The sequence below is a fragment of the Homo sapiens genome, chromosome 6, assembly GCF_000001405.40.
Source record: "Homo sapiens chromosome 6, GRCh38.p14 Primary Assembly".
Classification (NCBI taxonomy): domain Eukaryota; kingdom Metazoa; phylum Chordata; class Mammalia; order Primates; family Hominidae; genus Homo; species Homo sapiens.
The window spans coordinates 106,005,030-106,022,633 of record NC_000006.12 but is presented as its reverse complement, the minus strand read 5'-3'; the positions used below and the strand labels follow the sequence as shown (position 1 = coordinate 106,022,633).

Here is a 17,604-nt window from a genome sequence, read left to right as displayed (position 1 = left end):
GGCCAACATGGTGAAACCCCCTCTCTACTAAAAATACAAAAATTAGCCAGGCTTGGTGGCATGTGCCTGTAACCCCAGCTACTTGAGAGGCTGAGGCAGGAGAATTGAACCCAAGAGGCGGAGGTTGCAGTGAGCCGAGATCAAGCCATTGCACTACAGCCTGGGCAAAAAGAGTGAAACTCCACCTCAAAAAAAAAAAAAAAAAAATTAGCTGGGCGTGGTGGTGGTGCATGCCTGTTGTCCTAGCTACTCAAGAGGCTAAGGCAGGGGAATCACCTAAGCCCAGGAATTGGAGGCTGTAGTGAGCTATGATCACTTTTGCCACCATACTCCAGCCTAGGTGGCAAAGCAAGACCCTGTCTCTAACCTAAATCAATGAACTAAATAAATAACTTTTTAAGTATTCCACTTAGTGCTTAAGGGTAAATGCCCAATTATCTAGAAGATTTGCATGGAATCTCACATTTCGAATTCTGCTAGAACAGCTTGCTCTTTCAATGGAAGTACCATTATGTTGGTGTAACACCTGTACCTCTTAAGCTCTTTCTTGCTTTATTTTATCCTTATACTAGTCTTTTGGGTAGGAGGATAGATACTGTAACTCTCATTTCAGAGATTAGAAAACATGAAGCATAAAATGACTTTCTCTGTCATCAGTCTACTTTGTGACAATCTCCTGATAGTTGATACACACTTGAAGAAATAAACATTTCACGCTGGGCACGGTGGCTCACGCCTGTAATCCCAGCACTTTGGGAGGCCGAGGTGGGTGGATCACCTGAGGCTGGGAGTTTGAGACCAGTCTGACCAACATGGAGAAACCCTGTTTCTACTAAAAATACAAAATTAGCCGGGCGTGGTGGCGCGTGCCTGTAATCCCAGCTACTTGGGAGGCTGAGGCAGAAGAATCGATTGAACCCGGGAGGCAGAGGTTGCGGTGAGCTAAGATTGCACCATTGCATGCCAGCCTGGGCAACAAGAGTGAAACTCTGTCTCAATAAATAAATAAATAAATAAACATTTCACTTTGAGAAGAGGAGGTGAATGTTCCATTTTGCTTCTCAATTAACTGCATTGCCATCATTATGTTTTCCTGCAACAGTACTCAAGAAAGCTTCTTCTTTGCCCTAAGTAAAGGAGAGGAGCCTCTCAGGTTAATTCAGAGAAAACCAACCCTGTCTGGGCTTACTCTACTCAAGACTTGGCTACTTGGGCAAATTTCAATGAAAGGGAGACTGCTGATTTCTGCACTGCCACTCACTTCACTGTGTGCAAGAGCACACAGCCTTTCTTGGCTTTTCCTCCATTTTCTGCATTTTTTACTGAAATTGGAATAAGAGTAGGGAAGGAGCTTGGGAAGGGAAACCACCCAAACATAGGAAACTAGAAGTACTTTTTAAAAAGTAAAAAGAAAGCATAACCGAAGAATCTGATGTCAGTAAGCCTGAAGTCTGCTCAGTTTATACTTGGCATCAGATTACACAGTCTTGCCAACTTGATTTAGTGCACACACTTGTGTTTTTCTTAAGATTATCAAAAATCAAATAAAACTATCTTTAATAAGTTATTGTTATGAATGGCCTACTTTTTACTGTACTTATTAATGCTAGTCTTTTATAATAAGAGCCCAAATCCATACCAAGAAAATGAAAGTCCTCAGAGGATGTGCAGGTAGACAAGAGGGGGAAAGGACTGGCATGGAGCCGGGTGCAGGTTTGACTGCTGGGAGGCACTCTAGGCTGGCCTGCTCAAAGTTCTCTTTTTATCCATTTCGAAATTGAGATTTAGGTGTGAAGGGACTTGCCCAAGTACTTAATAGCCAACAATCAATTTATAAATTACATAAGTCATAGAAAAGTAGTTTCATGTGGAATGCCAAACACGTTACTTTAGAATGTTCTATGAATTAGGACAAACTATTCCTTCCTCCTCCCCTTTATCAAATTCACCATGAAGTATAGGGGAAAAAAATGGTGGGGGGTGCATAATAGAATACAAAGAACACTTAGAGGTTTTGTAGACGTGGACTGGATCCAGGTTGGTCTATATAAACTTTGGGCAAACTGCTTAATCTCTCCAAATCTCAGCTTCTTCATCTGTAAAATGGGGACAGTATACTCCACTGCTCCCCATCAGTTCTCTGAGTGTTTGTCAGATAACATAAATGTAGGCCAGGCATGGTGGCTCATCCGTGTAATTCCAGCACTTTGGGAGGCCGAGGCGGGAGGATCACTTGAGGCCAGGAGTTTGAGGTTGCAGTGAGCTGTCACTGTGCCACTGCCCTCTAGCCTGGGTGAGGGAACTGGACCCTGTCTCAAAAAAAATAAAAAAAGGTAAAAATACACATATAAATGTAAACCGCCTGGCATACAAGAGGTTCTAAGTAAATATTGGTTCCCTCTCTTTTTAACTTTCATGTTTTTGTTTGTTTGTGGGTTTTTTTTTTTTTTTGAGACAGAGTCTCGTTCTATTTCCCCTCCTGGGTTCAAGTGATTCTTCTGCCTCAGCCTCCCAAGTAGCTTGGATTACAGGTGCACGCCACCCACACCCAGCTAATTTTTGTATTTTTGGTGGAGATGGGGTTTCACCATGTTGGCCAGGCTTGTCTCTTCCTGACCTCAAGTGATCCACCCACCTTGGCCTCCCAAAGTGCTGGGATTATAGGCGTGAGCCACCACACCCGGCTCTTCCTTTTTTTGAAAGAGGCAGCTCACGCCTGTAATCCCAGCACTTTGGGAGGCCATGACAGACAGATCACCTGAGGTCAGGAGTTTGAGACCAGCTTGACCAACATGGTGAAACCCCGTCTCTACTAAAAATACAAATATTAGCTGCTCATGGTGGCGGGCGCCTGTATTCCAGCTACTTGGGAGGCTGAGACAGGAGAATTGCTTGAAGCCAGGAGGCAGAGGTTGCAGTGAGCTGAGATCATGCCACTGCACTCCTGCCTGGGTGACAGATCGAGGAAGACTCCATCTCAAAAAAAAAAAAAAAAAGAAAAGAAAAAAATTAAGCAAGTCAATAAGAAACATAGTGTGCATCACTTATTAATTAGGGGTTGATATCCAATATAGAAAATATTCACATCTACTTCTCCAGCTACCCCGTTTCATTTTTAGCTAGCTTCTTTTTGGCATAGATAAGTGAAAACGCAAATTAATCAAATTTTCAGTTCTATTTTTTTTTTAATTATAGGGAGAAGAAAAAAGCTATAAACTCAGTATGAGCGATCTATATTTCAATCATTCATGTTATTTTCAGATGCTACTTGGGTAAATTTATATGAGTAAATAACATATACAACATATTAAAATAACATATAAAATCATATAGAAGGTTCTAAGCTTTCCTTTTTTTTTTTTTTTTTTTTTTTTTTTTTTGAGATGGAGTCTCACTCTGTCCAGCATGATCTTGGCTCACTGCAACCTCCACCTCCACCTCCCAGGTTGAAGCGATTCTTGTGCCTCAGCTTCCTGAGTAGCTGGGACTATAGGTGTGTGCCACCATCCCCAGCTAATTTTTGTATTTTTAGTAGAGACGGGGTTTCACCATGTTTGCAAGGCTGGTCTCAAACTCCTGACCTCAAGTGATCCACCCGCCTCGGTCTAAGTGCTGGGATTACAGGTGTGAGCCACTGTGCCCTGCACTCTTCTTAGAATATAAAACCCCACTATATCAAATAATGTATGTAGATACTCTGTCCCCAAGGAGGTGGAACATAATTCCCTCCTCCTTGTGTGTGAGGTGGATATAGTAACTTCCTTCCAAAGAATACCATATGAAAAGGTGGAAAAAATGGGTCATTTTTTTCTCTGGAGAAACCTGAAAACACCACCTCAGCTAGGTGATCCAGGTTAACGTCGACAGTGATAAGTCATGTTGATATATACTTTTGATATGATGTGATGAAATAGCACTTTACCTGTCTGGTCTTCCTCCAAAAAGCCCATAACCCCAGACTAATCATATTTAAAAAAAAAGACATATTTCAATTGAAGGACATTCTAAAATAGAGCTGCCCACTGCTCCTCAAAACTGTTAAGGTCATGAAAAACCAGAAAATTCAGAGAAACTGTCAAGACCAGAAGAGTCTGAAGAAAACATGACCATTAAACATAATGTGATCTCCTCAATGTAATCCTGGAATAGAAAAAGGACACTAGGTAAAAGCTAAGGAAATCTGAATGAAGTATGGATTTCAGTTAATGAGAACACATCAACATTGGTTCATTAATTGACTAATGTAAGATGTGAATAACATGGGAAATTGAGTGTGGGGAATATGAAAACTATACTAGCTTCTCAATTTTTCTGTAAATCTAAGCTGTTCTAAAAAATTATGGTCTACTTAACACACTATAAATTATTATATTAACAAAACTACTTTAATAACTATACGTTCCATTACTAGCAAATTTACTTTTTCATATCAAATATCTTTGATTCTAGCTTTATTTTTTTTTTAAAGTATTCTGTTGAGGAAATAGCCCTCAAAAAATCAAGATGTTTCATAAAGGCTGAGCGGTTCAGATGAAAATGTCTTGGTATCTGCCCAGTTCTGCCTCCTAGTTACATGGTCACATATAAAGCTCCTGAGCAATCTCATCTGTTAATTTCCTCAGCAATAAATCCAAGACGCTGGACTAGATTATCAGTATGGTTCTTTACAGCCCTACAGGTACACCATGTTCAATATCATTTCTCCAAAAGCCAGAGGCACACGTTTGAAATAAGAAAGAACTTTCCCACCCACACTCCCCCTGACCCTCAGCCCACCCCAGGCTTTATTTCTCATTCAAAAAGTGGGCCTGGCCTTTAATCTGCCCCTGCTTCCACAGTATCCTGATGACTGACAGAGTCAACCGTGAGGAGATGCCACTAAATCAACATCCTTCAGGGTCCCTTTCCGAAAAAGAAAAAAACTGGGCAGCTGGTCTTGAAATGGGGATTGTTCAGTTTGGTCAAAGCTGCTGCATCATCCATCATTGAGAGATAAGGGGACATTTGCCCAGGGTCAGACTGGCCAAGCAACTGTGTGAACTTACCCAAAACCCCACCTCTGCTTCCCTTTGCCTGTTTCTAAACTTAGTTGCTTTATTCATAACACGGTGCCCTCCGGCAAGGGTAGGGTGGAGGTGCGCAGGTCACCCTCTAAGGCCAGTTCACAATGGAGTCACACACCCAGACTCAGACACACACAGAGCAAGAGTGTTTTCTATTAGCCTGTGTTCATTAATATTGCCTTCTGACTGCCATGTTGTGTTTAGAAAATGGATACATTTCTACAGCAACTTCCTATCATCTAAATATGTTTTAACTTAAAACTAATTCCAAATAAACAAGATCACTTCTTCAAAGCTGACAGAGCTGAACAAATACAAGTTGTCCATTGAGCAATGAGGGGGTTGGGGCACCAATTCTCCTGTGCAGTCAAAAATCTGCATATAACTTTTGACTCCCCAATACTTAACTAATAGTCTCCTGTTGACCAGAACCAATAACATAAGCAGTCAATTAACAAACACAAAAATGGACAAGTATCTACATATATTTTATGCATTCATAATGCATTTTTCTTAATTTTTTCAACATTTCTAGGCTGCATGGTTCATCTAGGAGTTTCTTCAAATTATTGCAAATCTCCAAAAAATTTCCAACGTATTTCTTGAAAAACATCTGTGCGGCCAGGCACGGTGGCTCATGCCTGTAATCCCGGCACTTTGGGAGGCCAAGGCGGGCAGATCACAAAGTCAAGAGTTCGAGACCATCGTGGCCAGCGTGTTGAAACCCCGTCTCTACTAAAAATACAAAAATTAGCTGGGCATGGGCATGGTGGCGCACACCTGTTATCACAGACACTCGGGGGCTGAGGCAGGAGAATCGCTTGAACCCAGGAGCTGGAGGTTGCAATGAGCCGATATTGCGCCACTGCACTCCAGCCTGGGTGACAGAGCGAGACTTTGTCTCAAAAAAAAAAAAAAAAAGAGAGAAAAGAAAAAATCTGTGCATAAATGGACCCTCAAAGTTCAAACCCTTGTTCAAGAATAAACTTTTCAAATCTTCTTTTGTCCTTTATGAAATAAACTCAAAACTAATTTTCCATCTACCATTTAGTCATTTGACAGACATTTATTAAATGCCAACTGAACACCTGCTTGTTAATCTGCGGGTACCCAGGGTGCGAGAAAGAATAAGACATACTACATGTCCCTTACTCTCAAGTCAAGTTCCCAGGCTAGAAGGAAAGATAAATGTAAATAATATAAATTTTTAAAAAGTAAATAAAAAGATAAATGTAAATAATTATACATCATAAGTATAAAACAATATGAAGAAAGCACTAGAAGATTCATAGCAGCATTTTTCTCAATAGCTAAAAGGTGGCAACAGCCCAATGTCTATCAACAAATGAATGAATAGACAAAATGTGGCAATCCATACACACAATGGGATATTATTCAACCACATAAAGGAATGAAATTCTGATACATGCTACAATATGCATGTTCCTTGAAAACATTATGCTATGCTAAGTGAAATAAGCCACATACAAAAGGCCAAATATTGTATGATTTTACATATATATATGAGCCAAATTCATATAAACAAAGTATAATAGAAGTTGCCAGGGGCTGAGGAAGGGGAAAAGTTATTGTTGAATCAGTAGAGCTTTTATTTGGAATGAAGAAAAAATTCTAGAAACAGATAATGTTGACAGTGTGTACAATGTTGGGAATAAACTTAATGCTACTGAATAGCATACTTGAAGATGGTTAAAATGGTAACTTTTGTCATGTATATTTTACTACAATTTTTTAAAAATCACACCCTACTCCCTGCAAAAAAAAAAGAAAGAAAAGGAAAAAACAAATCAGACAAGTATCAAAGATCAAAATAAGATGGGATTTAAGAATGTTTGTTTTACATTTTTGGATAGGTAATACACTACATGATTCAAAAATCAGAATGATATAAACAGATAAATAGGGAGAAGTCCCACCCTCGGTCCTGTCTCCACCCATGCCCTTCCCACCCACCCCTTACATCCACACCTGTCCACCAGAGACCATTGTTACTGCTTTCTTCTTTATTCTTCTAGTGTTTCTTTAGCAAACAGCAGCAAATCTCTTTTTCTCTTTCTCATACAAAAGGTGGCATATTCATTGTTTAGCACCTTGCCTTTCATTTAAGTCTTGAGGAGTCTGAAATCTTCAAATGCCAAGCTCAAACGGGATAATTTTACACATTTGTAGAAGGGACAGACATTTTCTTTGCCCAAGTAGCACTTTTTAACAAGTGCAGAGAAGCTCATTTTCTACTTCATTAACAAAAAAGTTTTTAAAGGAAAGAAAAGAGGAGGAAGAGAGAAAAGAAATTTTAACTTCAAGAAGCATTAAGGATGGCTGACTTGCCCTGGGGGAAAAGTTTACAATGTGTAAAGCTCCTCTTTCAAAGCAGCCTTATTTCCATAGGCAGCTAAGAGATTACCACCTTGTAAAAGAAAGGAAGAAACGCAACCTCCCCACCTTTGAGTTATCCATCCCAGCAAAGGGAACCCTTGGTTGGGGGTGGCCTCCAGATGACCACTGCTCAGACTACAAGGGCAAGGCTGTGTTCTTTTAAATTTAAGGAAATTCACCGGGCATCCCAGGGGGCTGTATCTTGAACTCTATGAACTTATTATGTCCCTGTGTCTTGTTCTCTCTCCTCACCCCCATCTCACAGAAAGACAAGCAAGACAAAGCAAAACCCCTGCTCACCATCTTCCCAAACTATTTTTGATCACAATAATTTACAGCTTTGGTTATTTTAAAAAAGAAAGAAAGACACCTGTCACCAGAAGGCCAACAGCTGCCTTTTAAGGTTCTATAAAAAAAAATGTGTTCTATCTCTCAGGATAAATCCAAAATTTAGAAATGTGATGATTATAGATTAACTGTATTATAATATTAAATAAATTTATAGTATATTTAATTTAATATTATAGATTAAATCTATTATCTATCATCGTTTTATTGATGTACAATAAATACATTTGTTACAGATTAAATTTAGACTTACATTATAGATTAAACGTAGATCATATATATTAAAATAATCTGGTTTCAATTTTTTAAAAAATCCTGAGCATTTCAGCATTTGCATTCATCCAAGTCCTTTGTTCAATACTTTTTATTCAAGTTTTTTTTTTTGAACATTTCTTATGTGCTAGAAACTGTTTCAGACACTGGAGACAACAGTGAACAAGGCAAACACATGAATTCCTTGTCCTGAGGCAGGCAGCAGTGGCTCATACCTGTAATCCCAGCGCTTTGGGAGGCAGAGGCGGGCGGATTACTTGAGCCCAGAAGTTTGAGACCAGCCTGGGCAACACAGGGAGACCCTGTCTCTACAAAGAAATAACAAATTAGCAAGGCATGGTGGTGCATGCCTGTGGTCCCAGCTATTCAGGAGGCTGAGGCAGGAGAATGGCTTGAGCCTGGGAAGCAGAGGCTGCAGTGAGCCATGATCGCACCACTGCACTCCAGCCTGGATGACAGAGACCCCGTCTCAAAAAAAAAAAAAAAAAAAAAAATTCCTTGTCCTCATAGAGTTAGCATTCTGGTTGGAGAGACAGACAGTAAAGAAGTAAACAAATAAATACATTTAGACAGTGACAAGAGCTATGGAGGAATAAAATAAAGCAGGATAAAGGAATTGGGAAGGAGGAAGCTCCTTTTGTTAGGAGCAGCAGGAAAAGCCTCTGTGAAGAGGTGACCAAACCCATAAAGGGAGGGGAACAAGATTAGGGGGAAAAGAATTCTATGCAGAAGAACCAGCAAGTGAACAGAGGCTGGGAGGAAAGGGCAGAGGACAGTGTGGCTAGCCAAGCGGACAAGCAGCCACTTCAGCAGCGGAATCTCTACTGGTACTTATGGGACCTCAGGAACTCTTGGCAGCACTATACAATATTGGCTCTTGGTGAAAATGACTCTCAAAAGAAGAAAGGAACTTTAAGAAAAGGTCGGCTGGGCATGGTGGCTCGCACCTGTAATCCCAGCACTTTGGGAGGCCAAGGTGGGTGGATTACCTGAGGTCAGGAGTTTGAGACAAGCCTGGCCAACATGGTGAAATCCTGTCTCTACTAAGAATACAAAAATTAGCCGAGTGTTGTGGCACACACCTGTAATCCGAGCTACTCGGGAGGCTGAGGCATGAGAATCGCTTGAACCCGGGAGGTGGAGGTTGCAGTGAGCTGAGATCACGCAGTTGCACTCCAGCCCGAGCAACAAAGAGAGACTCTGTCTCAAAAAAAAAAAAAAAGAAAAGTTCAAAAAGCAGTTTACAGGCAGGGGTGAATGAGGATAAGCTCAGTTTAGGCAGATGCCTGTACAAAATTTCTGTTTTAGAGGGATTGGGAAGGTTGATGATAAGCACTGCAATTATTGATGATCTGTTGTTGAAGAGTATGGCCAGGCATGATGGCTCACACCTGTAATCTCAGCACTTTGGGAGGCTGAGGAGGTTGGCTTGATTGAGGACAGTTCGAGACCAGCCTGGCCAACATGGTGAAACCCCGTCTCTATTGAAAATACAAAAATTAGCCAGGTGTGATTGCGCGCGCTTGTAATCCTAGCTACTGGAGAGACTGAGGCACGAGAATTGCTTCAGCTGAGAGGGTGCCACTGCACTCCAGCCTGGGCGACAGAATGAGACCGTCTCACACACACACAAAAGGATATGCCAAATCTTATACATCTAATGGCATATCTGTTCAGCCATCTGACAAATTAAAAACTGAAAAAGCAGAAAACAAATTTCAAACCTTTTTCTGCATTTTCAGACAGAGAAACAAGTAATCTTTTCCCTAGAGTGTATCACTCAGGTTCCGCTCTTCAGAGTTCCCGAGTTTTCTGAAGTTGTTCTAGAAAACCATTTACCTGAACACATCTGGGGCAGGTGCTGGGAGAGGGGGAGTTGCCAGCTGCAAAGCAAGTATAATAGTGGGCTGAGTGTGTAGGGGGGTAATGTATGGTGTATGTTTGCAACACATGCAATATGTGTGGTGTGTGTGATGTGGGATGTGTGTGGGGAGTGTTGGGTGTGTGGGGCTGGTATGCCAGTGTGTGCATGTGTGTAGTATGGTATGTGTGTAAATGTGGAGGGGTGTGTGTGTGTGTGAATGTGGAGGGGTGTGATATGCATGTGATATGTTTGTGTGTATGTAGTATGTTTTTTGTGTATGTGTGTATGTGGTATGTTTTGTGTGTGGTATGTGTAATGTAGAGGGTTGTGGTGTGTGTGGTATGTTTGTGTGTGTGTGGTGTGTGAATGTGGAGGGATGTGGTGTGTGTGGTATGTTTGTGTGAGTGGTGTGTGTGAATGTGGAGGGTTGTGGTGTGTGTGGTATGTTTGTGTGAATGGTGTGTGTGAATGTGGAGGAGTGTGGTGTGTGTGGTATGTTTGTGTGTGTGTGTAGTGTGGTGTGTGTGAATGTGGAGGGGTGTGGTGTGTGTGTTATGTTTGTGTGTGTGTGTATGAATGTGGAGGGGTGTGGTGTGTGTGGTATGTTTGTGTGTGTGTGTAGTGTGGTGTGTGAATGTGGAGGGGTGTGGTGTGTGTGGTATGTTTGTATGAGTGGTGTGTGTGAATGTGGAGGAGTGTGGTGTGTGTGGTATGTTTGTGTGTGTGTGTAGTGTGGTGTGTGAGAATGTGGAGAGGTGTGGTGTGTGTGGTATGTGTGTATAGTGTGTGAATGTGAAGGGGTGTGGTGTGTGTCTGCTGTGGTACTTGTGTACTGTGTTTGCGTGTGGCATGTGTGTGAATGTGTGGGGGTGTGTATGTGAGTGACTGAGGCAGGAGGCTGACTGAGAGTAAGAACTTGGCCACCAGCACAGTCTTCATTTAAATTGAATGTTGAGGTGAGCTTGAACCACTCCCAAGCCACCCGCTTTGGCAATACCACTAACCTGGGACTTCGGACTCCAACTCCTTTTCCTTGCACCACAGTAAGCAGCTTTGCAGGGGGCGGGGGGTGAGAAGGCAGGAGGGAATGAAGGGTTCTCACCCACTTGTCTGGGCACTGCCCTCAGGGAGGAGGGTATAGTGTACTCCGCTCCTCACACTCCCAAGGCTTGCTCCCCTCGCACATACTCTTCCTGCTTCCACCCCAGGAAGGCAGGCTGCCTCCAGCAACCTGGACAGACCCAGGCAAGTCCTGGTATTCTCCCAGGCTGGAGACAGACTGAAGAGTTCAAGTCTTACTAAACAAAAGGACCTAAGTGCCTTTTTATAATAAGTTTACAATAGCTGCAGTCAACATCAAGAAATCCCAGTATAGGGTCAACTGCCCTTTCCACAGACTAGGCCCAAATCAGCAACAGAGGTTCCTCAGAGAGTCTTCTTAGCTCTGGGATTGTTATAAAGGTGATAAATTTAAGTCTTCGGTACATCTTCGGTAATATCTATAGCAATGTAATTTAATTCTTTAAAATAGAAAAGCTAAACAAAACAAACAAATAGAAGAAAACTACCCCAAGATAAAAAGATACAATCAGAGAAGACAATGAAGATGAAAAGGTACACCCTATGGGGATTAACGGTGCAGGGCCTACCACAGCAAGAGCTTTCAAATGGGACTCTGCAGGCTGGTCCTGCTGCTACTCAGTGGCTGCAGCTGAAATCCCCAGATGTGCATTACTGAGAGGACACTTGCTTTGCCCTGGTCTTTTAAACCTGTAGTCCTGAGCAAGTCCACACACTTCAAGCTATCTAAGTGGATCTCCAGTACCCACAGGTTGAGCTCAGTGACATCCTGGGAAAGGCTCGAGGTCATCGCCCCATGCAGGTTCTTGGCCAAAAGTGAGTTGTGCAGTTAACAAATGCACCCCTGACACGACAGGGCACGTGGTGATAATACGGCTCCACGGTGTCATGCTTCAGAGAATTCTAGTTTTAGTACTTCATAGTTTTGGGTGCTTCTGTGACCTTAAAACTAGAACTTTTTAAAAAAGTAAGTTTAAAAAGAAAACTTGCTGATAGAGGTGATAAGGTCAATTAGCTTTAAGTTGAATTGAATCAAACTGGCCAATATGTTCATGAAATGGATTGATTTGATAAGGTGCATGGTGTATATGCTTAATTAAATTCTAAAGATGTAGAATTTAATTAGATGCACGGGCTGATACAAGGCTATAACTGTCATCCATAACCATAGATTTCTTGTTTGGGAGTCAAAAAAGTTGAGCTGATTCACCTCCTAATAAATAAATGCTTTAAACATAAATATATAAAATATGTATGATTATGCATTTGTAGTATTAAACTATCATTTATTCATATTCTATTTATTAAGATTCATTGTAAGCTTTTCTTTGAAAAAGGGGTTCTGCAAGGATAAACAAGTAAGTAAAGGATTAGAAACGCCTGTCGAAGAGTGCCTGTCAGACTCTTGGGTATCTCAAGCTGTGAGAATTAATTACACAAGCTAAATTAGTTTGTAGAGGCCCTACGCCAAGCTTACCATACTCTGCAGAGAGGGGAACTGGGCACATCTTGGGACCCCATAGCTCTCAGAGTGCCTGCTGGACTTCAGTGACTTTGACCTGCCATAGGGGTAACTCAAATATTCAGGAAGGGCCAGGCATGGTGGCTCACGTCTGTAATCCCAGCACTTTGGGAGGCCCAGGCAGGTGGATCACTTGAGGTTAAGAGTTCGAGACCAGCCTGGCCAACATGGTGAAACCCTGTCTCTACTAAAAACACAAAAACTAGCCGGGCGTGGTGGCGCATGCCTATAATCCCAGCTACTCAAGAGGCTGAGGCAGGAGAATTGCTTGAACTCAGGAAGCAGAGGTTGCAGTGAGCTGAGATCATGCCACTGCACTCCAGCCTGGGCAATGGAGCAAGACTCCATCTCAAAAAAAAAATTCAGGAGGGAGAAGATAATCACATCACACTCAGGTTGGATGCTCAAAACTTTCGTCCTGAGTTAGCTCCTTCTTTGGTTTCAGGGCTCTCTCTCATACATGCACCCCTAATTTGTTCATTTATGGTTTCCACCTTGATACAGTTTTCCCCCCATGTGTATATATGTAGGTAGATTTCTTGCACACCCTTTCCCCCCTTTACTATAGCTTTGAATATGTGCAACTTTTTGAAATGAGCAGAGTTGTGAGAAAATGAAAATATAATCCTGGGGGGAATTGTTTGCCTAAGGAATGCTAACTACTAACCCAAGTAAATTTAAAACCTTTCTACATTTTTTCCTTCAGCCTAGGGTGATCCAGCTTTCCGGACCAAAAGGAAGCGAAAGTCATCCTAAAAAATCCACGTAAATATTTGCCACACTATAAATTGGAACTGGAATGAATCCACTTTGAAGCACACGAGTAACATTAACCTGATTGTCACATACATACTTCAAATATATTTCATTCATTTGGAATTTGTCCAATTTCCTTGCTTCAAACATCTTTTGTCAAAGTAAATTTATGCTGAGAACCAATACCAAGAGCCTGACAACCCCCTACGCAAGTGTTCTAGGGAGGCAAGAGCGCTAAGACAGAAGGGGGCGTGAGCGAAAGGGTAGACATAGAACGTGGCAGAATATAACCACTGCCGTGAGGGGCCTGTGTTCAGTTGCTGGGGTCTTAGGAGTCAGAGACAATGCCTGGCCATGGACCTGGCCACCGCTGCGGGAAGACTATAGTCTGTGATTTGAACCTTGTGGAAAGGGGAGTATTCCTAGAGGTAGAGTCGAAGGAGTAGACATTCCAGGTGGGAGTTACTGGAGACAGGAGAATACAAAGCCAACAAGAGAAGAAAGGCAAAGGCAGTACAGGCAATGGCCAGTAACCAAGCATCTATTTTAGACAAAGCATCAGGGGAAAGCCCTGGAGAAACGGGGATAAAGAGCCAGTGTCTAGTCTCTGCCTTTACTTCCAGTAAGGGGCACCATCAGAGCCCCACCCTCCCTCTCACACTCAGAAGGGGTCTGACTGGGCCCTCCTTTCCTGCCTGCCTGTCCTGGGAGAGAAGGAGAATCCTAGAGAGCCGCTTGACTTATCTTGTCTATATCCTCTGTACCAGGCACTTAGTAAATATTCAGTGTGTTCGCAAATGTTATAAAGGAGACACTTGTGGCAAAAGAGTGTGAAAGGGTGGGGATCTGGTGCCCAGGTACTGAAAGGCTTTAAGGAGGGGCACCCCAGCTCGGCACATGGAGAAGATTTCCACAAGTGTGAGTCATGTGAGAAACACTGGAACCATTTCTTTTTTTTTGAGACGGAGCCTCACTCTGTCGCCAGGCTGGAGTACAGTGGCACGATCTTGGCTCACTGCAACCTCTGCCTCCTGAGTTCAAGTGATTCTACTGCCTCAGCCTCCAGAGTAGCTGGGACTACAGGCGCGCGCCACCACGCCCAGCTAATATTTTTGTATTTTTAGTAGAGATGGAGTTTCACCACATTGGCCAGGATGGTCTCGATCTCTTGACCTCGTGATCCACCCACCTCAGCCTCCCAAAGTGTTGGGATTACAGGCGTGAGCCACCGCGCCCAGCCCCACTGGGACCATTTCTTAAAATGCTTTGAAAAAATGTGGGATTAAGATGCCTGAAATTTAGTCTGCACATGATGTAAAGCCATTAGAGGTTCTGGAGATAAAAAGAGATTTCATCAAAACGGTACATTTTTCGTGGAACAAACATTGAGCGAATGCACAGGGTGCAGTGGGGAAGAGGAGAGGCCTGGCTCATGTCCTCATAGGGCGTACCAACTACTGGTTAAGAAGTTTAGGAGGAAAGACTGGAGATGGAAGAGCTTGGAGCTGGAGAAAGTCGTTAGGAGATGCATTTAGGAAAACAGAAAGAAGGCTACCAGTGCAATGCAAAAAGAATAGGTAGGCAGGCAGGTGACCTTGTTAGCTAACCTCAAGGGACGAATGACAGCAGGAGAACTCTTAGGTAAAGGAGAGCAAAGTCCAAATAATGTGGGAAGTTTATATATCACCTGCTTTGTTTAAAAGTCTTAAGAAATTAAAAAAATTAAAAGTACCAAGAATATTAGTTATGAATGTAACTTTCGAGTTGTCAATACCCCCATCTTTAGTTGCATGTAATTTGGAAGATGCAGTAGTAGATAATTTCACATGAATGGTCTGCTCAAATAGTATTGTAACAAAAATGACAGTTGCCTTTGTCTCAAATAATGTTTTTTTTCTTTTTGAGATGGATCTCGCTCTGTCACCCAGGCTGGAGTGCAGTGGCGCCATCTCGGCTCACTGCAACCTCCACCTCCCAGGTTCAAGCAATTCTCCTGCCTCAGCCTCCTGAGTAGCTGGGATTACAGGCACCCACCATCATACCCGGCTAATTTTTGTATTTTTAGTAGAGATGGAGTTTCACCGTGTTGGCCAGGCAAGTCTCGAACTCCTGACCTCGTGATCCGCCCTCCTCGGCCTCCCAAAGTGCTGGGATTACAGGTGTGAGCCACTGTGCCTGGCCTGTCTCAAATAATTTTGGGTTCACCAACTCCTAAAGAACATGTAGAATGGTAAGGAAGCAAACTAAGAAAAATGAGAGAGAAATCACTCAGAAGGAAGAGAAATCAAGTCAGATGTGATAGTGACCAAGCCCCAATGAAATACAATGGGGATGCTGCAGATAATAAGCATGACTTTGAGTGCAGTGTGTTGCCATGTCTTAGTACACCTTCCAAATTACACACAAGTGCCATAAACGATCACTGAGCAGAGAGTTTGAAGAGACCTTAGACATTTTTAAGCTTACTGTGATACCCCCAGCCCCAGGGTGATGAGATAACTTTGCTCTGTTGTCAAAGTAGAGAAGCCATGAGGAACATGGCTGCCTTCCAGTTCAATATTCTTTTCCCACTACAGCACCATGCCTGAGTGGAGCATGGACCAGCCAGGACACTGCCTTCACCTCAAAAAACTGGAAAGAAGGAAGTAATTTCTTCGTTATGTGTACCACCCAAACCCTGAGGATACTTTGATGGTATCTGGCAAAGGTCTTATTTTCTTCCCTCTTTTTATTTTTATCTATTTTTGGTGAGGAGATGAGGTGGAGATAACTCCTGGGAGGGTAGAGGAAAAGAGAAAGTATCTTCTACATACAAAGGGAGACGATAAAATGCTATCTGATGTTAAATGATGTTGAGAATCTCAAGCTTCAATGTAGAGTTTAGGTTCACCCCACGAGACTAATGTATTAAATTCTCATAATTGCAAGCTCATTAGATAGGGGTCTGTGGAGGAAACAGAGCTGCTTCTTTCCTTGACATATTTTCCTCCTTACTACGAAAGTAAAGTTTATACCAAAAGTCACTAATCAACAACTCAGTTGTTATCTGGAGAAGTCAGTCCTACCATCCATATAAGGGAGGAAAAAGAAAAAAGAAGTCATCCATCAGTCTTGGCTGAGTCTGCTAGAACACACGCATTAAGTGTTTACACGCAGCATGTTTGCCTCAATCTAAACAAGTTCCTGCTGTCCCCAGAATACAGCACTTTCCATGCTCAGAGGAATCGGACACCTTCGTGAGAAGGAAGTGGAGGCTGTGAGAAAGTAAGGAGCAGTTTGGATGAGGACTATCGTTGTTTTGAACTGAAAAGGCTAGAAGTGCCTCATCTAGAGTCACAAAACCAGTCTGTGACTTTACTGCAAGCCTCAGATGTCTTCTGATGCTGGAGAAATAACCTTTCTGGATCCACAGGATTATAAACTGAAAGGGATCACAAGGCTGAAGGATATCTAACCGTAAAGTTTTCTCATTTCTAACACTAAAATTATGCAAGAACATGAAGCAGAATCATCAAAATTTAAACCCATGAACTGCATGTATTTTAGTGGGGAGAGTCTTATGTATTTTCCTACAGTATAATTTTTCTTCTTCCTCATTCAGCCATCCCTTGTCAAAAAACAGGGCAGGAAATTCTTCAATTTGATACGTATATTTCCAGCCAAGCTTAGGTTAAGTGTTTTAATGATAATTCTAGCGCAATGTGTGAAAAATTGAAACTCATAGTCAAGCTTTATAAACCCAAAGTTTCGAATTGAAAGTTGCATTTTTTCCTAGTTTAAAAGGTTTTCCATATTCATTTTACTCAAAATTCAAGGAGTGCTCGTGAACAAACAGAAAATCTAAACCTGATTGATTTGGCAAGTTATTGGAAGATTTGAACAAAATAAGTTCTCTTGAAATTAAACACCTGGTTGACAGCTTCACTAATTACAGTCCACTCTACAGAGGAAGGCCAAGGCCTGTGGCCAAGCAGACAGATTAGCTACAGTTACTCAATAAGACAACTATTTAGTAGAGACAAACCCTGGGAGAGAAACCTAAGAAGTCATGTGCATATCCAAACAGGCTGCCACAGTGTAAAGAAATCCTCTTAAGTCACTTTCGGCTTCATTAGCACATGAAAATGGGGTAATTGAACATTCTTCAGCCTTCCATCAAGTGCCAAAATCAATCATTCATGGAAATTAAGTTTTGATAAGAGGTGTTTAAACACTGTCAAAGACTTCTTGAATGTGTCATTCTTTCAGCCTTAAGAAGATTGCAGCAAGCACTTAACTGTGTGAAAGAACTGGAGAATTAA

The 17,604-nt window shown here is 42.1% G+C and overlaps 1 protein-coding gene across 1 annotated transcript in view, besides 1 other annotated feature; it reads right to left on the bottom strand.

The window, feature by feature from the left end:
• PRDM1 (PR/SET domain 1) overlaps positions 1–17,604 on the bottom strand; it is a 117,249-nt gene that overhangs the window by 87,305 nt on the left and 12,340 nt on the right. The gene's annotated exons all lie outside the window — the stretch shown is intronic.
• Positions 7,045–7,761: an enhancer, noted in NCBI's record as "NANOG hESC enhancer chr6:106462748-106463464 (GRCh37/hg19 assembly coordinates)". NCBI's record gives its function as "activates a minimal SCP1, AML or CMV promoter by ChIP-STARR-seq in primed H9 embryonic stem cells {active_cell/tissue: H9 hESC(primed)}" and the evidence as "EXISTENCE:reporter gene assay evidence [ECO:0000049][PMID:30033119]".